The sequence below is a fragment of the Homo sapiens genome, chromosome 10 (genome assembly GCF_000001405.40).
Source record: "Homo sapiens chromosome 10, GRCh38.p14 Primary Assembly".
Lineage (NCBI taxonomy): Eukaryota > Metazoa > Chordata > Mammalia > Primates > Hominidae > Homo > Homo sapiens.
Genome location: NC_000010.11, coordinates 25,204,017 through 25,228,501, shown reverse-complemented (window position 1 = coordinate 25,228,501; position 24,485 = coordinate 25,204,017). Strand labels below are relative to the sequence as shown.

Genomic DNA, 24,485 nt, shown 5'->3' with positions numbered 1-24,485 from the left:
TCAAGGAATGAACAGTATTCATTTTAAGGAGCACAATGGTATAATATTATTTGGATACATTGTAAGTCACTTACCCAATTCTTTATTATGCATTTGTTTCTAAATTTTTGCTACTATATGTAATACTGTGATAAGTAGTCTAGTACATATATATTTATGAATTATATTTTAGAATTATATTTATATATTTTAGAATTTTCTAATGTTTTCTTAAATTATTTTTTTTAGAAATGAGGTCTCACTCTATTGCCCAGGCTGAAGTGCAGGGGCACAATCATAACTCACTGCAGCCTCGAACTTCTGGGCTCAAAAGATCTTCCTGCCTCAGCCTCCTGAGTAGCTGGAACTACAGGCATGTGCCACTAAGCCTTGCTAATTTTTTAAAATTTTTTGTAGCGACAGGGTCTCGCTATGTTCCCCAGGCTTAAATTATTTAAAGTAGAAGTAGAGAAAAAACAGGTAGAACAAAGAAGTATGCATTTTTAATGATGACACATTTTTACCATATTGTCAAAAAATTTATAAACATTTGCATTCCTACCAATATCACATTAGAATATCCTCACCAACATTGAGCACAATTCTTTTTTACTGCTTGCCAATCCAATAAATAAATTCCTGCACTTCTTAAATATGTGTGAAGACTTCTCTTTTATGACTAGTCTTGTGTCTCAGAAATTAATATACGATATTTTAGTACATATCACCTAGAAAATTTAGTACATAAAAAAGTTAAAGTCAATTGGTATATTTCTAAGTTCTCTGGTTCCCTCTAGAATGCAATGATATCTTTTAAATTATAAATTTCCTCTGTCTTATTCACCACTGTATCCCTAGGACCTAAAATAATGAATTTGAAATAATGTTATAAAAGGTATCCCATGGAAAAAATAGCCTATACCTTATTAACCATAATAATAAGAAGAAAAATTACTAAGAATAATAGTTTAGCAAACTTGTAAACTGTCCTCAAAGAGAGAGGCCTAGTACACCTAATTATATGTGAATAGACTAAAGTCAGAACTGGGTTGCATGAGACAGTGATGGAAACAGTGGTTTAGTATTTAACCAGAATACAACACACAAATAGCTTGAAACTGTACGCAGGGAAAGATGTATTGTATTTTAATAGTAAAAGAGATGTCTAGACAACAAAGAAATAGTTTAATGTCACTTAATTTCCTACTACAGATTTTCTCTCTCTCTTTCCCCCAACCACAAGATGGCGATAGCCACTGGTGAACGCTTGGCTCAGTTGCTGGGAACATCTAAAACAGCCAGCTTGTCCTTAACTGACTTATTAGGCTCCCCAGCTCAGTGGTTTTAGCACAGTGATTTCTAACCCTAGCTTTGAAACAATTCGAGAATCTCTATTCCAAATAACCCTCGAGAGCATAGTGGAAAACTCAAAAAAATACCATCGGTTTCTATTAATTTTAAAAAGAAAGACTGTAACAAAATCAAATGAGATAGGCTTTAGAACTCCAAAAACAAATAAGCATCCATACAGTGGTGATATGGCCTCCTTTGGCTAAGCCTGGTAAAGCAGGGATGGGTGACTGAAACAGAGGAAAGAAGACTTAGAAGGTAGCTAACAGCAGTCTTCAAATACCTGAAAGGCAACTACTACAAAAAACATTTTGTTTAATTTTATTTTAGGCAATTGGTCAAAAGCGATGGCCATGCATTAGAGGGAGGCCATCTAACAACAGCAAATTATCTCCATTAATTCAACAGTGTCAGGTACTGTTTCTAGGTACAAATGAACACCTGATCATTGTCCTACATTCCAAAAGAAGAGTGTGACTTTATATTAAATAACCACATTTCACACTAGTAATAGGAGAAAAGAAAAGTTGTGCTACAAATACAACTAAAATGTAAATATCCACAGTGATTACCAGTGTTTACTCCTCACTTACTGTGAGACTATTACAGTTTCCAGTGTGAAATAATGGCATTAAAAATAGTTTGCAACATTCTCATTACTTAGTTTCAATTGCACTAATACAAATCATAAGAAGATTGCATAAGCCAAAACTCATTTTAAGTTTGTTCTTAAATGTCCCTCAGTGAATTTTAAGGCAATGTTACTGACAAGTGTACAAGGAAACTCAGGGATTTGAAAGTTTTAAAAAGCCTGTGTGGCTTGACTACACTATAAGCTAGACTATATCCTACGGCAGAGCAGTCCACTGCACTTTTCAACATGGTAGCCACTAGTTACATGGGCTATTAAATGCTTGAAATCAGGTTAGTGAGGACAGAAACTTCCTTTCTTGATTTTGTTTAATTGGTTTAAACTTCAGAAGCAACATGTGGCTAGTGGCTATCATACTAGACAGCATGGCTCTAGAGATAGGTGAACAATAGTATTTGTTAAACAGAAACTTTCTGGAGAAAAGAAGAGCAATGGTGAGATAGCAGCCACAAGATGGAACTGACACATAGCTATTTCTAAGTGATTCAGTAAATGAAAAGTTAAACTAAATGAAAGATCTCTAGAAAAGTACTCTAAACCCACTGTAGTCAAATGAGTAAGTTACATTTGGTATGTAAGAGGGTTTTTCTGCTTTCTTTGAATCTTTGCATTCTATTCCTCTTCTCATATACCAAATGATATGTTTTCTTACCTTTTTAGCCTTCTTTAAAATTTATCTTTAGAGATTCATTAAACTACATCTAATGTAGTAGTAAAGAATTACAAATAGATTTTCACCCAATACATTCCATAGAAAAGAGGAGATATGGGAAACTGTCTTAGAGCAATATAAGACCAATGACTGGAGTGATAACACAACCACTCCAGTGAATCTGGTATCTTCAAAAAGTGGTCTCCAAAGCAGAATAAACACGACTTTAATTGGCATGCAAAAAGAAAATACTAGAACTTCTGTTTACATTTAACTTTTTAATAAAAGAAACATAAGCTGTTAAGCCTTGTTTTATGTAGGACTTGGATTAATGTTAATGCCCTCACTCAATCTATACTTTACATGATCACACATCTGAGAATGCACTTGAGACATCCTGAAGGAAAACTGGGAGTTTCAAGACAGAAAAACATTAACATTGACACTGGTCACTGGGTTCCTTCATTTGCTTCAATTTTCCATTTATTGCCTTTATATTTGGCCATTTAGATGCATTTTCAGAGTGTATTGTTTTAAAGTATAAAGTATTTATGATTCTTCATGAGATGCTGTGTGACCCAGAAAATCTTCCCCCATAAAGATTCTCTGATTATTTCAAAATGAACTGCTCACTTCTGAGCTTAAAGATGGGTTATACATTGCTTTATACAAAAAAAAAAAAAAAGGCAAATGTTCCAAATCTGCTGATCTGTTCTGGGATGGCAAGTGGTTGGTTATCAATAGTGTCTATGAAACAGGTATTTAAAAAACAACAACAACAAAAACCATTCCTTCAAAGCCATTTTAACAATCCATGAGAAAGTCTTTTCAAGTGAGCATTTTGAAAATGGATATTTGAAAATGTTTTCAGTGTTAAGTGGTTTTTGTTGCCAAAATCTATAAGTATTCACACACCTCTACAGTTTAAACTTGGAAATAAAATGTCCTAGTCTGCTTTAATATATTTAACATGAAGAGATTCAGTGGGTTTTTAACCGATTCCTTTAAAATATTAAAATGACCAGGTTTCGAATTAGTTTGCGAGGACCAATTGACATCAAGTAAGATGCAGAATTGCCAGCTGTATCTCTGTAAAGAAAACCTCTGCAAAAATTGGTAGCAAACATAGTTGACAATTTATTACTTCAATTTGGACTGATTTCTCCTTGTGAGGAATCTTTTTCAACCATGACAGATATTAAAACTAAGCATAAAAATAAAGTGAACTTAGAGACCTCTGAATCACTGCATTACTAAGTATTAAACTAAGATTTTCAAAAATTGTGACATAATCATAACAGTCTCACTAAAAATTTTATAGAATTATGAATCAATTATATTGCTATAAATATATAATTCTTTTAACAAAGTAATATAATTTATATTAAAATATTATTTCATCTTCATCTCAATCTTGTAAAATTTTCTGATTTATAATATACTTAACATAAAAATATAACAAAAGATGTATATACACTCTAAATTTAAAATATATATATACCTTGGACTGATGTTTAAAAGGTATTTACTAATGGAATATAACCAAAAAGTTTCCAGGATACTCTCCTAATATTTCCTACTTCAAACAATGGTTTTTTTACACTTCAAACAAGCAAAAGAAAATATTTAAAACAAAAATTAATATGAATTAATTTTATGTTTAAACCATTCTGTAGGAGAGGATGTGAAAACTGACCAAATCTATTTTACAGTAATCTAGATTAGTTACTAAGACATGTCCTTCAAAAAATGCTTAGTGGCCTCCTAGACCTTGTGAAGACCTAAACTCACTGAGAGATTATTTTCTTCACAAACCATTCCATGCCTTTCTAAAATGCTCCTGAGGCTTTTGTCATTGGTTCCATATCACTTATCTGTTTCCAACATCAGACCTGATATTTTGGTTGTACATACCCTAGAGGCTGGAAAGTTTTCCAACATCGCTAGAAAAATTTTTACAGTGAAAAGTTTGCCTCATTTATAACTTTGAAATTTGTAACTTTCTCTATTGTTTACTGGAGAAGAATGTTAAATATTAGCAAGATAAAACCCACTGTAAACCAAGATGAGTGTCTTTATTTCTAATGATGTGGACATTCATAAAGACAGGACCCTACATCCTACAAATGTGGATGTTAAGTGCTTCCCAAAATAAGCCAGTTTACACAGCGATCCTTGGGATGGTAACAGAGGGGTTGTTACAAAGAATAAAGTAGAGCCAGAACACATGAAAAATGCCACAAGTGAGACATGTTTCTTTCTGTTTTCCCAAGCAGTAAAAACCTCCAGAGAAGCCAGCTTCTAATCTCTAACTCACATCCCTATGGGAAAGGAATTGAAAGACTATTCCCAGTAACTACACTGAGGATGTGGTCCAAAACTGTTGCAGGTACCTAGAGTGACCAGCACAAACTATACGACCTTAGAGAAGCCCAATACAATGTGTGAAGAGTTCCAGGACAGACCTGTGCAGGGAAGACTACCCCATGAGGGCCTCCTGAGCATAGCCCACGACACAAAGATTCTTTCTTCCCAACTCCAGTACCTGGGCAATGAAAGGGGGCGAGAATGACAGAGTGCAAGTTGAACATACACTCTGTAGATCCATTGTTTTGATATTACTTTTTGATCACTCAGCCTCTTTCTACAATATTTTCAAATGAAATTGTAGAATATTTTTTCCACTTTTTTCAGTAGGAATGTAATAAATATAATGTTCCCATATATAATCCCAAAAGTTATAAATTTCAACCTAAACTTTGTTAATCAGAATAGAGGATATTTTATCTTGAAATAACCTAGTTTATTTCAAAGCTTTAAAAAGACACAAAACCCAGAAAATTAATCATCCTGATGCAATGAAAATAAATCAATCTTCCAAAAGGAGAAAGAGGTTCTTTCAGTATGACCATCTAGTCAAATAAACAGATGCGCTGTAAGGACACAAAACCACACCATGATTATTAGAAGCAAGCAGCAACTGTAACAAACTGAAAAGTAAGTATCTCCTTGTTTCTAGGCAGACTGCTTATTGAACCACCCAGGAGCACCACTAACACAAGGCTATATAGAAATGAACACACACAGATCAATATCCACAATATGACACCCATGCAGAAAAAAGTCCATTCTGGCTAAAAGACAACGCTAAGTGGCTATCTGCTCCTAACAGAACAATATTGCTCTAGACATTTGGCACAGAGATGATAATCAGGCTAAAGATATTCACCAAGCCAAGCGATTGAAATTCACATCTTAGAAATGCCAGAATCATCCGAAGTGGAGGCTCAGAAATGTTCAAAACCCTAAGAACAATTAAAGGAGACAAAAAGAAGAGCTTAATTTTGTGAGTTAGCAAGGCAGAAACATTAACTGTGGATGGCAGTCTCTGTGGAGGTGTATGGAGATGTGGGAGGAAGTGTGTGGATGTGAGGGAATGGGGGGGCTGTGGGAATGTATTGATGAAGTGGGGGATCATCAGGATATGGTGGAGAGATGTGATAGATTTAGAGGGATATGGGAGCATTACGGGGGCTTCTTACAGGTTGGGGGCAAGAGGATTGAGGGATGCTGTGGAGAGTGTGGTGGCGGGGTGGAAGTGTGTGTGGAATGTATGGCGGATGTGAGAAACAGTGAAAAGATAGTTGGGAGTGTGGGAGTACAGGGGTATGTGGGTTGTGTGTGGCAGGAGTATGCGTGGTGGGTGTATACATGGTAAACACTCAATGGGCGTATATACATGTATATGCATGCATGTATACCTGTGCAACTGTCTGTGCATTTGTGTAATGGCACAAATAAGTGCTTATTGCTAAATTTCCTTCTGATTTAAAATTCCTTCCTTAAAAATTACACTATATACAATCACCTTTCACAAATGGCAAAAATTCAAATTAAAGTTGTAGATTACTACATTTGTGGAAATATCCCCTCTATTTTAAATAAAGCAAGCTGACTTTCCTCACAAACTCATGGAATCAATGTTGGACTAGCCCAAGTATTTAAGATCAAGAACTTTATTGTATGTTTGTTCCATAGTTTGAGGACCTTGGAAATGGACTACTAAAAATGAAATCACTAGTATGTCATCATATTCCTTCTCTGAAACTACAAAAGACAAGTGATAGTCTTATTTCCAGAAGCATGATCTCCATGCCTGTTTCCTATTAACCAGAGTATCGTCAAATCAAGCATGAATAGGGACTAAAAACTGAACAAATACACACACATATACACAATTCCTTTCCAGGACCCTGTACAGTGTTTTCTCCTTGTTTTCAAAATTGCCCCACCATGCCTTCTCTAGTGCTCTTCTAGCAGATAGCAGTGTGTCTGAATGAATACCACCAATATTTCAATAAGCATCATATTCCATAAAAACAGTCATAATTTCTTTGACCATTCCTGGGACTGGTTTCTCATCTCAGGACTATTTTAAATTTCCAGCCCATTTTGAAGAATAGGGCCAGGCTTTGACTAAAGTCAAACTTCAGATGTAATTGTAGTTTTGGCCTTCTTTCAGTCCCCAAGCGAACAGTTATTCTATACAAATTTTATTTTCTACTCCTATTTTAGTTCATTTGGCAGCACTGAGACCTACATAGATTTTCTTCCCAGTAAGATGCCTCTTGTTCATTTACCCACACAAATATAACATATTCAAAATAATGTATTCCTGAGCTTAAAGAGGATTTTATTTTCATCTTCTTACCTCTGAATTGTTGAGGTGGCATTTATGAGTTCCTGAAAACCAGCCATCACTTGAGCATTGGTCAATGTCCACTTTCTGAAGATTTATGTCAACTTTCATGACACCCCTAGAAATAGAAAAGGATAAAAAGAACAAATTAATCTGGACATTTATGATTTCTCTGTATTTTAAGCTTGAAATTAGAAAATTATCATAAAGAACATGCCAAAAATTGTCAAATTGCCTACTCATATTCAACCAAAGTGCACCAAGAGAAGACACACAGTATAGGAAAATCATTAAGTATTGGCTTTATGTAAGTCCAAAGGCAGGGAGCTGTCTTCACTTCCTTATATAATGCCTGGTACATAATAGGTGCTCAATAAATATGTGTTGATTGCCTGAACTCCAGGACAATATTGCTCTAGACATGGCAGAAAATGTGACTCTAAAATAACACTTGCTCTCAGAACCCCTTCTAGTAAAGTAAATTAAAATAAAGCCTTCAGTTCATTTCTTTCTACTTCTATTTCCCATTGCAGGGCTAGGAAGATTGAGTAGGGAGGACAGTATCAGAAAATAAGCATCTCTTTCCTCTGATCTCTCATTTTAATAACTCTAAACAGCTCTTTAGGTCTCCCAGTGTTCCACATTAAACAGAGATTTGCCTCACTACAGAAATGATGACTACATTCTTTTTTCTTTTAAATCTGGAAACGAAGAGACTGCATTTCACTTAGCCATTTGAGAAGTGTCACTAAGAAAGACAACTCACAAATTCAGAGCCAGTCAAAAGCTAAATTGCAAAGAAAGCTCCAAGTTGGGCTAAAATTCCTCCACTTCCTCCAGCCAACTTTCTCTCTCTGTTTTCCTAAGATTCCCTCCTTTCTATTTTTCACCACCAGCAGCACCACTAGCAGCAGTTGCTGCAGAAATATCTGTCCAACACTGCACTATCACACATGGACTTTATTGAAATAAGTATTCTGCATCCTGGGCCCTGAAGCTTTATAATGTAGTTTTTCATAAACTTAAGTAAAGTATATATACCCCACTACAAACTACTCAAAGTAAAAACACATTTTTGAGGCCCCACACCCCTAATTTAAACAATTTTTCATTATGATATCACTCATATACATAAAATATAAAAGTAGCCTCAAATTCCTGATTTTATAGCTCCTGTAGCTACAAAGAATCCCACACAATTACAAAATAAATGCAAACAAAAGTATAAAACCGACAAAAACCAAATTTAAAATATTAATTTAAGAAAACCAAACATTATGCTTTGCCAAAACAAAATCACCTCTCAAAACAGGAATATAGTACTGACTGCTAGTTCAACAATCCTATTTTGCCACACATCTTATGACTCATTTCTCTCATCTCTTTTCTCCTTTTAAACTACTGTGAAGCATTCTAACAGCATGGCTTAATGCCACTTGGGCTTCCTTTGGGGTGAATAAATCATTTATTTTTTCAGTCTGCCTCTGTTCTTTAACCTGTGAGAAAAGTACTACATTACCTAGTGCCTACATGCTCAAAACATACACAGAAATATATAGGGACACTAAAACCTCCTGCCAGTGTTTGGTTTATCCAGATAATCCAGAATATGTTTGAGTTGATTTTCCAGATGATCAGTGAAATGAAAACACAAAAATTACAGAAAACACGCTGATCATTCAGATATATAGACCCCATTCTGCAAAATATTACTGTTGTGGGCCATAACGCAATAAAACAAATGTTTATGTGATAAATAAATGGATTTCCAAGTAACCTAATGCCTTAATCCAGTTCATGCCTTTCCTCTTTCAACAAATTTTTATCGTCTGGTATGTGCATATCACTGTAAGATAACACTATGCACGACAGAAAGGCAAACCTACCCCCAAGGAACAGTAAAAGGCATAAGACATTTTGAAAATGACCAAAGTGTTTAATGGACAGTAGATGCTAAATTCTAGAGGATTTGGAAAGCTATCACTTGGAGTAACGTAGGGCTTCAATAACCATTCGTTGACTTACTGACTGCTTTCACTATCAGAACTTTCAATCGAAGTAGGTTCCACCAAAGTTAATCCAATCATGTAAGCCCACTTCTGGTTCTACTTTATGCTCCTTGGAAATAACTTTCTTTCACTGATTCAGTAGATACTCAGTGAGTGCTTACTATGTGCCAGAATTGTTCTTGGTTTTTGAAAGGCATCAGTAAGCAGGAACACAAAATCCTGCCTTCATAGAGTTTAATTCTAGTGTGGGATAGAGAAATAGGTAAAATAAATGATTAAATTATACTATACAAAAAAAAAAATAAGTTCCATGGGGAAAACAACTTCCAGCAGATAAAGGGGATGAAATAGAAAAATTTTAAAATTTTTTTAAAGGGTGGTCAGGATAAATCTCACTGAGGTGAAATTTCTGACTCAACACAGTTCAAGGCATAATTAGAGCTGGTTTATAAGCACACTCTAAATCACCAGTATCATAAAGCTTCTCACCGGACTACTGTTGTCCACTACATTTTGGTTATCTTTCTTGAATATCTTATTTAGAAAGTATTTGTAATTGGCAAACTAATCAATAGGCATTTCTACTCGTTCCACAATGGTTGGTTATAATGAGGTCAAGTTTTTCTCAACAATCCTACCATAGCAGTCCAGTTCCCAGACAGTGGAAATCTCAAATCTTCCAGCTTACTCAGACATCGGCTAACTTGGAAAATAAAAAGCTGCAATTACTGTGATCGTTTCCTTCCCTGGAGAAAACTGACTTCAGAAAAAGGCAGCTCAACTGACTGAAAGCTTTCGCCCTTCATTCCAAGTTCGTACATGGAAACTAAAAAGTCACCGCAGACCTCAAGCCCGGCCCGTGAAGCATTCCAGGCTTGTGCAAAACCGTGGAATATAATGAGCTACGTTTCCCAGCTGGGAAATCAACGAGGCTTCTTCATTACAGCCTAAGCCTGGGCGCCCAGAGACTTACAAAACCCTGGGGAAGGCGCTGTAGACTTCCTGTCGGGGGGAAGCGGAGGTTTGGGGGATATAACAGAAAGAAAACCCTCTCTTTGTGGGGAAGAGCATCCTGCCGCTGAAAGGGACGCAAAGATCCAACACCTAAGGACCCACGTGTCCCATCGCAGACCAGGCAAGGTGAGAGCCCCATCGCGCCTGTGCCCTCTGTCCCGAGTGGGCATCTCAGGGGTTGAAGGGCTCCTGGGAAATTCTGAGACTGAAAAGCTGGCTGCTGTTTCATGGCCTCAGGACAGGAAAGTGAGGGTCAAAAAAAAAGCGTGTAAGTGGCCTCCAGAGAATGGAAAATATAGCAAATCGGATCCCCTAAACACCTGGGTGCTTAGCTACACTACAGACCAGCATTTTCCTCTATTTGTCCATTAATAGAACAACAAGCCCGAAGCAGGATTCAGTCCATCAAACACGATTTCCCTACTGGTCTTTCTCTGTGAATGGACCTCCAAGTCAAAGCAATGGCCAAGTGCCATAGGTTGGACTCCCTTTGTGCTTCTTGTATCTTGACTCTTCTCTTCCATATGCATGGCCACTGCCTTGCTTCAGGCCCTCATCTTTCACGGGTTAAACAAATTTAATACTAGCATACTCTTGGGTCCTGTTTGGCATTGCTCCAAGTAAAGATCCTGGTTTGTAGCTCTTGAAGTTTATATGGTTTAGGGACCTTCTTTAAGAAAAACAAAATCATGAATACACATGTATGTGACGAGATGACCTTTGGCCCTAGGTCTTTCGGTGGTAACTGTTGGATGGGTAGGCACCATGGGCATTAAGAGTATTACCAGAAGCCATTTCTATACCAGAATGACCAGTAACTTCGCTATACACAGAAGTGACCACAGACAACTTTAACATATATTGCTTAACCCAGACTAAAAAAATCCTAAAGTTCCTCCAGTTTGCAAAACTACCCAAAGCCTAGGAAAAGTGTAATGGAGGCACATTATACCAGAAAGAGACCATTGCATTCAAAATATCTTATTTTTGCAAGTTTTATGAGAACAGTTGACCACAAAACTCATTTCTAGTACCCATTCCAGGATTTTAGAAAGTTCCCATGCAAGTAAGGGTTGCTGAAGCCCAAGAATCATACACTGCTTTCTATGTAATATTTGAAACATATAAACCCAATCCCGACAATTCCCTACTTGAAATCAATATTACTCACTTTCCTAAATAATAAAATCCACGTTCCTTGGAATGACATAATCAGGGCCCTCCTACTTCTAACTTCTCCAACCACTGTCATGCATATATTCCTTATTCCAGACAATTCAGAACTACATTTAGGGCCCTAAAAAATTCATGCTATCTCAAACCATTCTTTCACAGACGTCTTTATACCTGAAATCCCTTTGCCTAAACCATGCCTTACATTATAACTCCTACCTGGCCACTTTCTAAAGCCTCCCATGAACTCCAAGTCTGATATGGAAGAGAGTCCCTTATTCTCCCATAATGCAGTGTGCTTACCTTCTTCATATCAATTAGCACACTATATTATAATATTTGATTTTCAATGATATGTTTTCCCCACTAAAATTTCCATGGTCTATATCTTTTTTAATATTTTTCCTTAGCTCCTAAATCAGCCCACACCCAAAATTAACTTTGGAGGAACTACAGACATGAGAGAAGCAAGGAGTAGCTAAACTGACATTCCCCCCACCCCCAAAAAATACCCAAGCAAATTGAAAGTATCATAAACTGCTATGGAGGAATGGATAGAGAGACTGGATAGATTGATGGAAAGACTTGAAATTCTGCTTTTCCTCCCTCCTCATGTTACCTTGGACAATAATTTTTCTGCTCCATCACTACAAAACAATGGACAGTAACAGCATATGTAGTCAACATTGATGGGATATCAAGGTAGAAGCTGTGCTGAAATTGATTGATGAAAACAGGTGCCTGTAGATCAGCTGCCATCAGTCATTCACTTCTAACAATAGACAACCAGAACAGAATCCAGTGCCTGGAAACGGACTGCTGCCATAATAAAAACTCTAAATCTATGCTAGTGGCTTTGGGAACAAGCAAAAGCTAAAAGGGCCTCAGTGATGGTTAATGAAAGGGGAATTTGTTGGTCAGTTTTGAAGGACAATGAAGAAAATGTTATTGGAGGCAGGAACAAAAGGGACTTTTGTTATATAGTAGGTAGAAAGTTTGACAGCACCGTCACCTGTGAACAAGTGAATTTGTAGATTCAGCTGAGAAAGTTTCTAGACAAATGCTAGCTGCCACTGATAAATATAAAAAGAAAGACATGGACTAAAGAAGGAGCTGGTTTGTGGTTTTATGTTTTGGCTTTTTGAGACAGAGTCTCTCTCACCCAGGCTGGAGTACAGTGGCACGATCTCAGCCCACTGCAACCTCCACCTCCCCAGCTGAAGTGATTCTCCTGCCTCAGCCTCCTGAGTAGCTGGGACTACAGGTGCGCACCACCACGCCCTGCTAATTTTTGTATTTTTAGTAGAGACTGGGTTTCACTATGTTGGCCAGGCTGGTCTTGAACTCCTGACCTCAGGTGATCCACCTGCCTCAGCCTCCCAAAGTGCTAGGATTGCAGGCATGAGCCACTGTGCCCAGCCATGTTTTCGCTTTTTAATTGTGGTAAAATATACATAACACAATTTACCATCTTAACCATTTTTAATGTACGCTTTTGTAGTATTGAGTTCATACATATTATTGTGCAACCAATCTTGAGAACTCTTTTCGTCTTGCAAAACTGAAACTCTGTTCCCTTTAAATGACAAATCCCTATTCCTCAACTCTGCCAAGCACTTGGATTAGAACTACTTTTCTACTTTCTGTCTCTATGAGTTTAACTACTCTAGGTTCCTCATGTATGTGGAATCATACAGTATTTGTCTTTTCATGACTGGCTTATTTCACTTAGTATAATGTCCCCGAGGTTCATCCATGTTGTAGCATGTATTAGAATTTCCTTCCTTTTTAAAGCTTAACAAGATTCCATTTTATATACACATCACATTTTGTTTAGCCATTCATCTGTGGTGGGCCCACTGAGTTCCTTCCCCCTTTTGGCTATTGTAAATAATCTTGCTATGGAGCCGCTTAGATTTTTAACAAAATTTAGAAGAAATATAAAAAGCCAGGACTGCTGAATTTGAAATAAAACTTTCTATGGGAACACAACAAGCAAATAAAATATGGTGTATTAGTTTGTTAAGGCTGCCATAACCAAGTATCTCAGACCGGGTGATTTAAACAACAGAACTTTTATTTTCTCACAATTCTTTAAGCTAGAAGTTTAACATAAAGGAGTCAGCAGAGTTGCTTTCTTCTGAGCTTCTCTCCCTGACTTGTAAATGGCCATCTTCTCCTTGTGTCTTCACATGGTCTTCCCTCTATGCATGTCTGTCTCCTCATTTCTTATAAGGACATCAGTCAAGTTGGATTAGGACCCACCCTAAATGACCTCATTTTAACTTACTTCTTTAAAGATCCTATCACCAAATACAATCACATTCTGAGATATTGGAGGTTAGGAGTGCAACATATCAATTTTGGAGAACACAATTCATACCATAATATATGGTATCCTGATTTATATCCTGGAGCAAAAAAGGGACATTAGTGGAAAAACAGGAAACCTGAATGAAGCCTGTAGTTGAGTTAATATTAGCTCCTTACTTTTGATAATTTTGCCATGGTTATGTAAGATGTATTACTACAGGAAGCTGTGTAAAGAGTCTATAGAAACTTTCTTTTCTAGCTTTACTAATCTTCTGAAAGTCTAAAAGTATTTTAAAATAGCTTTAAAAACTTTCTAGTTATAGAAAACTAGTTTTTTTAAAAATAAGTAAATAAATAAGGGAGACTCGGCCAGGCGTGGTGGCTCACGCCTGTAATCCCAGCACTTTGGGAGGCCGAAGCAGGTGGATCACGAGGTCAGGAGATCAACACTGTCCTGGCTAACACAGTGAAACCCCGTCTCTACTAAAAATACAAAAAATTAGCGGGGCGTGGTGTCGGGCGCCTGTAGTCCCAGCTACTCGGGAAGCTGAGGCAGGAGAATGGCGTGAACCCAGGAGGCAGAGCTTGCAGTGAGCCGAGATCTCACCACTGCACTCCAGCCTGGGCGATAGAGCGAGACTCCATCTCAAAAGAAAAACATGGTAATAATAAGGGAGACTCAAGAATTAAAGAGACAATATGCAAATAAACAGAAAATATGCAAATAATATGCAGAATGAAGAGACAAAAAGGAATGTTTAAAAAGCAGTATTAGGATAAATTGCTCTCTAACAAACTTTGAAAAACTAAAAGAGAAGGATTAAAAAGATAAGATGATAGACAATATAAAATGCCAGTTTGCCCCAAATGGAAGAAAAAACTTTAATAGCACAATAAGCATAAAAAATTTAAATCATTCCCTTCCCTGAAAACTTCAGGCCTAGATGGCTTTATATACGAATTCTACCAAACTTTTAATGAACAGTTCTGTTTTCATGTTTTCACACACAAAAAAAGAAAAGAACAACCCACCCAGCTCACTTTACATGATTTTTATTCCAAACCACATGAGGGCAATAAAAAAAAAATGCAGCCACCTTTTAACTATGCATGTAGATTTAAGAGTCTTAAAGGAAATATGGGCTAAACAAATGTTTACATATATTAAAATAATTATGTCATGATATAGTGGAATATATATCAGAATGAAAAGTTGTTTTAGCACTGGAAAAATATATCAAAAAATTCAAAATAAATGAGAAAAAATTATTTTAATCAAACTAAAGAGGCATTTTACAAAGTTCAACAACTAAATTATTTTTAATGGCAAACTACAAATAGAAGGAAACTTTCTTAAATTCCAAAGCTTGCCTCTACCAACATTACTCTTACGGGAGAAGTTTTTTTTAAGATGTTCCCTTTAAGGCAAGAATGCTTACTGTATCACTGATGCTATGTAACATAGTACTGAATTCTTGACTAATTCTGTAAAAACCAAAAAAACTGAAAAAGAAAAATGAGATATAAAGATCAGAAGTGAAGATATTTGTCATTATTTGTACATGATATGATCATTTAAAATCAGCAGATAAATATGAGAATAAGAAAGTTCAGTAAGGTTGCTGGATACCAGATCAAAGAACAAAAAGCACTGGCATTTCTCTACAACAATCTCCAGTAAAAAAAATTATAACTAAAAAGACAACATTTAAAATAGTAACAAAACCTACAGGACAGGCACCATGGCTCATACCAGTAATCCCAGCACTTTGGGAGGCCAAGGCGGGTGGATCACAAGGTCAGGAGTTCGAGACCAGCCTGGCTAATATGGTGAAACCCCGTCTTTAATAAAAATACAAAAATTAGCTGGACATGGTGGCGGGCGCCTGTACTCCCAGCTACTTGGGAGGCTGAGGCAAGAGAATCGCTTGAACCCAGGAGGCAGAAGTTGCAGTGAGCCAAGATGGCGCCACTGCACTCTAGCCTGGGCAACAAAAGCAAGACTCATCTCAAAAAAAAAAAAAAAAAAAAAAGCTATAAATTCTCTAGTAGTTAAGTAAGAATACACAAAACCTCTATGGAAAAATTTTGAAAACTCTTAATGAAGAACAATAAATGATCTGAATTAACGGAGAAACATACTGATATGGTTTGGATCTGTGTTCCCGCCTAAATCTCATGTCGAATTGTAATCCCCAATGTTGGAGGTGGGGCCTGGTGGGGGGTGATCGGATCATGAATGGCTTGGCACCATCCCCTCAGTGCTGTTCTTGTGATGGTGAGTATGTTCTCGTAAGTTCCGGTTGTCCAAAAGTGTGTAGCACACCCCGCTTCGCTCCTCCCATGTAAGACGCCTGCTCACACTTTGCCTTTCATCATGAGTAAAAGCTCCCTGAAGCTTCCCCAGAAGCAGATGCTGCCATGCTTCCTGTACAGCCTGCAGAACTGTGAGCCAGTTAAACCTCTTTTCGTTATAAATTACCCAGTCTCAGGTATTTCTTTATAGCAGTGCAAAATAGACTGACACACATGCCATTCTCTGAAAGGGGATAATTCATTGAAATAAAAATGTCAATTCTCATCAAATGAAAGTATAAAATTAATGCAAAACCTACCAAAATTCTGTATGAATTTTTGAGAAATAGCTTAAGTTTAAGTAGAATAATAAAAGTTGTGAAAAAGAAAAAGAGGACTTGCCCAACCAAATATTAGGACATACTACCCAATTGTGGCAGACATGGGAAGCCATGGAACAAAATAGAGAGCTCAGAGACAGACATATGAATATGAGGCACTTATACTTATGATAAAGGAAGGTAGTATTAGGAACTTGGGCCACTAATGGATAAATATAATAAGTGGATCACTACCCAATACCATGTACACAGGTATATTCCAAATGTTAACAACTTGACTGCGAAAGGTAAAATTATATAGTAGTTGATAACATAAGAGAATATTTGTGACAGGGTATCAGAAGGCTTCCTAAATGCTATGGCTTAAATGTGTCCCCCAGAGTTCGTGTGTTAGGAACTTCATCCCCAGTGCAACGGTGATAAGAGATGGGACCTGTAAGAGGTGACTGGTCATAAGGGCTCCGCCCTCATGAATGGATTAATGTGGTTATTAAGGGAGTGGGTTTGCTATAAAAGCAAATTTGGCCTCCTCTTGTGCATGCGCTCCCCCCATCCCTTTTTCCTGTGCACGAGTAGGCTCTTTTGTCCTTTCACCTCCTGCCACAAGATGACACAGCAACAAGACCCTCACCACGTGTGGCCTCCCAACAATGGACTTCCTGGCCTCCGGAATTGTGAGTCAAATAAACTTCTAATCATTTATTGTGAGCCAAATAAATGTCTAATGATTTTAATCTCTATAAATTACCTAGTCTCAGGTATCGTTATAGTGGCACAAAACACACTGAGACAACAAACAAAACCCAAAAGCATAAAACACAAGGCAAAATTTTGATTAAGTGAAAAACATCAGAAATTTTTTAAAATTCTGTTTTTTTTTTTTTCTTTTTTCTTGAGACAGTCTCTCCCTCTGTCACCAGACTGGAGTGCAGTGGCACAATCCCAGTTCACTGCAACCTCCGACTCCCTGGTTTAAGCGATTCTCCTGCCTCAGTCTCCCGAGTAGCTGGGACTACAGGCGCCTGCCACCACACCCCGCTATTTTTTGTATTTTTAGTAGAGATGGGGTTTCACCATGTTGGCCAGGATGGTCTCAATCTCCTGACCTCGTGATCCACCCACCTCGGCCTCCCAAAGTGCTGGGATTACAGGTGTGAGCCACCGCACCCAGCCAAAATTCTGGTTTTCCAGGGAGGACATTATGGACAAAGTTAACTGAAAGATGACATATTGGATGATTTTGTAATGTCTAAAATTTACAAGGATATAATGTCATGAATACACCAAGATTTCTTGCAAGTCAACAAAATATAGCAATTATAATAGGAAGTGGGCAAAGGATATAAACAGTTTACAAAAAAAGTAAACCCAATAGGCCCACAAGCATATGAAGAAATGCTTGAGCACATTGGTAATCAGGAATGCAAATTAAAACAATAATGAGATATCACTACACATTTGTTAGACTGGCAAAAAAAAATATTTAGAAAGCTGTATAATGCCAAGTATTGGCAGGAATGTGAGGCTATAGGAACCCTGCTGGTGGGTCTGGAAACTGATGCACGCTGTCTAGAAAGTAATCTTACAATATTTAGTGAAATTGAGTTTACCCCTCCCTATGACTCAGAAATCCTGCTTTTGGATTTCTCATTTGAAGAAATCCTCACTCATTCACAAAGGGGCATAGAACACACAGTATTCAGCAGTAGAGAAACGGATTGGTTGTATATGTAGCAACATTAAGAGATTTTTAAAGCAGATTTGTGTGGATAAAATGCAAAATAATGAGGTATCTAACAACTATTTAATCAAAATTATTTACAAACAAAATAGCACGTGAATAGAAGAATACACTGCACAGGCTAGTTGTAAATGGGGTGGGTTCAAGGGAAACAAGATACTTTTTTGAAAATGGAAGAAGAGTGATTTCCTTTCTGTCACTGTGTAACTGAAGATTCTAGATTCATAATTTCACGACTTTTAAGTTTTAGCTGAAGTCATCTATGGGTGTCTTCCTTATCTGTGTGCATCTCATACTAAGAAAACATTGCTCACAAAAACACCCTGCATCTCTATCATTTAGCTCAAGCCCAGAACTACAAAAAGTACAAGAGCACCAAGAACACAGTTCTCCCAGGGCTTTAACGACAGAGAAAATATTTGGCAAATCTACCACAATTAGGCATGACCTTAGTACCAAAGTACTTGGTGGCTGCTTACTTAGCAAATATAAGCAGACAATCTAGGTTATTTGAGGATAAGGCTAACTTTTCCTCTAACACAATTAAAACTTAAGTCACAAGCCACTGAGTAAACAAAGCCGGGGTCAAGACACCAGAAACCAGATAGGATTTTGGAGCCAAAGATTAAAATAAAAATATAATATCAACAGTTAACTAACATTTCTTTTTATCTGTAACACTTTTCAGTTATAAAATAGATTTTAAAATAAATTGTGTGTGTGTGTCCCTACTACATGTAAGGCTCTTTGCTAGGTGGTAGTGCAGATGCAAAGCACAGGATATCACTCTTTAAAAGATTCTGGTTTAGTGGGAAGAAAAAAAAAAACAGAAGTAAAGATACAATTTACTCATTCATTTACTCAAAATGCATTGAGCACTGAATTACCACTGTTACTCTATATTCTGTTCAGCCCTCTAATGTGGCATTGTGCCATGATGAGGGTATTCAAGAATAGGCAATCCAGTAAGCAGACACAGATCATTTAAAGGTTTGTCTTATAAGAGGAAGAGATAGAGTGGTACATAGATCTAACAGTAGTCAAAAAGAAGAATAAAGGAGGTAGAAAACCATATTCCATACAATTTACATATTACACATAAAAGAGAACTGCCTAAAGAAAACAGGAAGTGGCTGGGCGCAGTGGCTCACACCTGTAATCCCAGCACTTTGGGAGGCTGAGGTGGGCGGATCAGAGGTCAGGAGTTCAAGACTAGCCTGGCCAATATGGTGAAACCCCATCTCTAATAAAAATACAAAACAAAAAAATTAGCCGGGTGTGGTGGCACGCACCTGTAGTCCCAGCTTCTTGGGAGGCTGAGGCAGAAGAATTGCTTGAACCCAGGAGGTGGAGGTTGCAGTGAGCTGAGATCATGCCACTGCACTCCAGCCTGGGCAACAGAGTGAGACTCCATCTCAAAAAAAAAAAAAAAAGAAGGAAAGAAAGAAAGAAAAAAACAGGAAGTGACCTGCTCTCCTGTACAGTCTCCAAGTAATCCCAAACCTGTGCTCTAGTGGGTTTGCAGGTTAATTCAGGTGAAAGCAGGTTTGGGACCTACCTAATTTGACAGTTTGTAGAGGCCACCATGTGGTCGGGAAATGTCGAGATGTTCTTGCTGCCAGCACAATGTGACACAGTTCCAGTGCTTCTCTCTGGTCTTTTACTTCTCAATTCTAATACACACACACACACACACACACACACACACACACACACACACACACAAATTCACATAGGACCAAAGAATCTCATACTGAGAACCGTGGTTCTGGTGATGAGATGGTTGATAGAAGAATATCATATATACCAATATAAGATGTACAGGATGCAAATTTTGTTTATTCTTTTACAAAAGCCTCTTGAATACCATCATTTATTTAGTTGTCAATCAACTTTTAAAAAGTGTTTTCCTCCTTCTCTTTCAATTATAACGCTGTAGGTAATTGAGACAAAGTTTTCTTTTTTCAAAACTTTGCATTTCTAAATGCAACATTTGCTAAAATTAAAGTAAAATCAGGAAAAAACAATCTCTGTATGTTTGCTAGAGATGCAAAATTATCATTATTGGCATATTAAAATGTGAAAAATCAATTGAAATAACAATGGTTACCAACCCTGACCAATAATAAGCCATGTGACTAATGAACAAAGCAAACACATTCTATAAACCCTGCTCTGCACAATTGAATATACCATGTGGTAAACATTATATTTTAAACTCCTACAAGTGTTTAGGTCGTTCCAGTTTTCAAAGAACTTTGGACATATATTACCTCATTTTATCTTTACCAAACTACTAGGCATAAAATACATAATTGTGTTAATGATAGCATAAGAGTAAAATAATATCAAAAGCAGCTAACCAATATACCAGAGAATATTAATTAGGAAAGGCAGCACTTACATTGTTATCTGAGTCCTTAAAGATCTTATAAATGAAAACATGAAGCCCACTAATCAACCCCAAAACCTGCTTGTTCTGCCAGCTATACCTTTATGATTCTTTAAGTAGAATCATATAAAGTCAACCTAGTAGTAAATATAACTTTATGCTCTATCCCAGGAGTCCCTCAACCCCTTGGTCATGGACTGGTACCAGTCCATGTCCTGTGAGGAACCAGGCCGCACAGCAGGAGGTGAGCAGCAGGTGAGTGAGCATTACCACCTGAGCTTCACTTCCTGTCAGATCAGCGGTGGCATTCGATTCTCACAGGAGCACAAACACTATTGTGAACTGCATATGCGAGGGATCTAGGTTGCATGCTCTTTATGAGACCCTAATTCCTGATGATCTGAAGTGGAACAGTTTCATCCTGAAACCATCCCCCTTCCCCACCATCGATGGAAAAATTGTCTTCCTCAAAAACTAGTCCCTTGTGCCAAAAACGTTGGGGACCACTATTCTATCTTATGATTCAGTTTAAAAAGGGGGGAAACAGATTAATAGAGTCACAGCAAGAGAAGAAATCTGTCCAGAAGCACCAATGAATGAGTCATAGCAAAGGCACCTGTTGGGAGAAGCAATCTGCCATGGGCCCTGAGCTTCCCATCATGGTCTTGCTGGATATGCCAAGAATGTCAAGTCCTGATTTAGCCACTTGGACCATTTCTAGGGTTGTGTTTTGCAGCGATCAGCCTCAAGGGATGAGGTAATGTCTCCCCCCAGACAAAGAGCAGATTTCCTTCTGCTTAATGTAAAGGCAGTGAATCTCTGAGTTCATAATTCTCCTCCTATAATGCAACCCATTCATGTGCAAGTATCCATTATGGGCTCTTTGCATTTCCCCCGTGGGACTTGGGCAAAAGTGGGAACTGACACAGACAGACTTGAAACTCTGGAATAATTAAGTCCTTTCTCTCTGATCTAGGAGCCTTACGTCTTCTGGCAGCATCCATAAAATAGTCAAGAATAAGCTTGTTAGCTCACAAGTAAAATCTAGGTAGGATCTACACAGCACCTTTAAAAATCACCTGTCAATCACCCTACCTTCTGGCAAGTAAATTATTTAACCATCAGAAATCAAAGCTGCATGTCTAGTAAACCTTGAATACATGTACATAATAGGCAGCCAGTAAGAATAGTGCTACAGAAGTATATTTAAAGAATTGTGAAATATAAGTCAAAACACAGTGTAAGATATTTGGTGTACATTTATTAGAAAACAGGAAAAATATTTAACATATATGTTTTACAACAAAGATATATATCAAAATGTTATCAATTATTAACTCTGAGCATTAAGATTGTGGGTGATTAGAATTGTTTTTCTTTTGGTTGATCATTATTTTTTATAATTTCCAAGTGAATAAATATTTTTATAATAGAAAAAAGTTAAACTTTAAAACTAGAAAAATAATTATTTCACTGCTTGAAAGTCCTTTAGAGTAACAGATTTCATAGTCTTCCAGACTTTTTCTCTTCTACCAATTAAATGGGTTGTTCTTATATTTAATCAACTATTTCTTAAAACTCTGGATATTTAAGAACCCATATCTGGGCCGGGCGCGGTGGCTCACGCCTGTAATCCCAGCACTTTGGGAGGCCGAGACAGGCGGATCACGAGGTCAGGAGATCGAGACCATCCTGGCTAACACGGTGAAACCCCGTTTCTACTAAAAAAATACAAAAAATTAGCCAGGTGTGGTGGTGGGCGCCTGTAGTCCCAGCTACTCGGGAGGCTGAGGCAGGAGAATGGCATGAACCTGGGAGGCAGAGTTTGCAGTGAGCCGAGATGTGCCACTGCACTCCAGCCTGGGTGACAGAGTGAGACTCCATCTCAAAAAAAAAAAAAAAAGAGGGACCCACATTTGGATGTGAACTCAACACTTGACCAAATGGACTGAACAAATATCTATAGAACTCTCCACCTAAAAACAGAATATATATTCTTCTCATATGCACAAGGCACATAATCTAAAATCATCTAAAGAATCAGCCATAAAACAACCCTCAGCAAATTAAAAAAAAAACTAAAATGATACCAAACACACTCTCAGACCACAGTGCAATAGAAAAAGAGAAATTAATACCAAGAAAATTGCTCAAGCCTACACAATTACATGGAAAGCAAACAACCTGCTTCTGAACTTCTGAATAGCTTTTGGTAAAACAATGACATTAGGGCAGACATCAAGAAATTCTTTAAAATTAATGAAAACAAAGATGCAACATAACAGGATCTCTGGGATACAGCTAAAGCAGTGTTAAGAGGAACCTTTATAGTGCTAACTGCCCACACCAAAAAAGAAGGATCTCAAATTAACAGCCGAACATCACACATAAAGGAACTAGAGATTGCATAAAAAGAAAAAAGAAAAATAAAAAGGGACTACAGAAACAAGAGCAAACAAACCCCAAAGTTAAAAGACAAGGAATAACCAAAATCAGAACTGAACTGAAGGAAATTAAGACATGAAAAACTATTCAAAAGATCAATGAATCCAGGAGTAGGTTTTTTGGGAAAAAAAAAAAAATAGAACACTATTTAGACTAATAAAAAAAAAAAAAAGAGAAGATCCAAATAAACACAATTAGAAATGACAAAGGGGACTGTATTAGTCCATTTTCATGCTGCTGATAAAGACATACCTGAAACTTGGTAATTTATAAAGAAAAAGAGGTTTAATAGACTCACAGTTCCACATGGCTGGGGAGGCCTCACAATCATAGTGGAAGATGAAATGCAAGTTTTATATTGGTGGCAGGCAAGAGAGAGAATGAGAACTAAGTGAAAGGGGTTTCCCCTTATAAAATCATCAGGTCTCATGAGACTTATTCACTAGCATAAGAACAGTATGGGGGAAGCCACCCCCATGATTCAATTATCTCCCACTGGGTCCCTCCCACAACATGTGGGAATTATGGGAGCTACAATTCAAGATGAGATTTGGTTGGGGACACAGCCAAACCATATCAGGGACATTACCACCGACCCCACCGAAATGACAAAAAAAAAAAAAAAAAACCCTCAGAGACTACTTTGAACACCTCTGTGCACACAAACTAGGAAACTTATTTTTTAAAAAATGGATTCTGATACCAAAGCCTGACAGAGACACAACAAAAAAAGAGAATTTTAGACCAATATCCCTGAAGAACATCGATGCAAAAATCCTCAATAAAATACTGGCAAACCGAATCCAACAGGACATCAAAAAGCTTATCCACCATGATCAAGTGGGCTTCAACCCTGGGATGCAAGCCTGGCTCAACATACACAAATCAATAAATGCAATCCAGCATATAAACAGAACCAAAACAGAAACCACATAATTATCTCAATAGATGCAGAAAAGGCCTTTGACAAAATTCAACAGCTCTTCATGCTAAAAACTCTCAATAAACTAGGTATTGATAGAACATCTCTCAAAATAATAAGAGCTATTTATGACAAACCCACAGCCAATATCATACTGAATGGGCAAAAACTGGAAGCTTTCCCTTTGAAAACTGGCACAAGACAGGGATGCTTTCTCTCAACACTCCTATTCAACGTAGTGTTAGAAGTTCTGGCCAGGGCAATCAGGCAGGAGAAAGAAATAAAGGGTATTCAATTAGGAAAAGCAGAAGTCAAATTGTCTTTGTTTGCAGATGACATGATTGTATATTTAGAAAACCCCATTGTCTCAGCCCAAAATCTCCTTAAACTGATAAGCAACTTCAGCAAAGTCTCAGGATACAAAATCAATGTGCAAAAATCACAAGCATTCCTATATACCAATAAGAGACAAACAGCCAAATCATGAGTGAACTCCCATTCACAATTG

At 37.3% G+C, this 24,485-nt stretch overlaps 1 protein-coding gene across 2 annotated transcripts in view; it reads right to left on the bottom strand.

Annotated features, from left to right (window-relative positions):
• The window catches only part of GPR158 (G protein-coupled receptor 158), a 427,229-nt gene that overhangs the window by 373,728 nt on the left and 29,016 nt on the right, over positions 1-24,485 (bottom strand). For both annotated transcript variants that reach the window (XR_930512.4, NM_020752.3), the window contains exon 2: positions 7,345-7,450. Coding sequence is in view for 1 of the 2 variants with exons in the window: in NM_020752.3 (NP_065803.2) it covers positions 7,345-7,450 (106 nt within the window). In the remaining variant the exon portion in view is untranslated. The remainder of the gene's footprint in view (positions 1-7,344; positions 7,451-24,485) is intronic.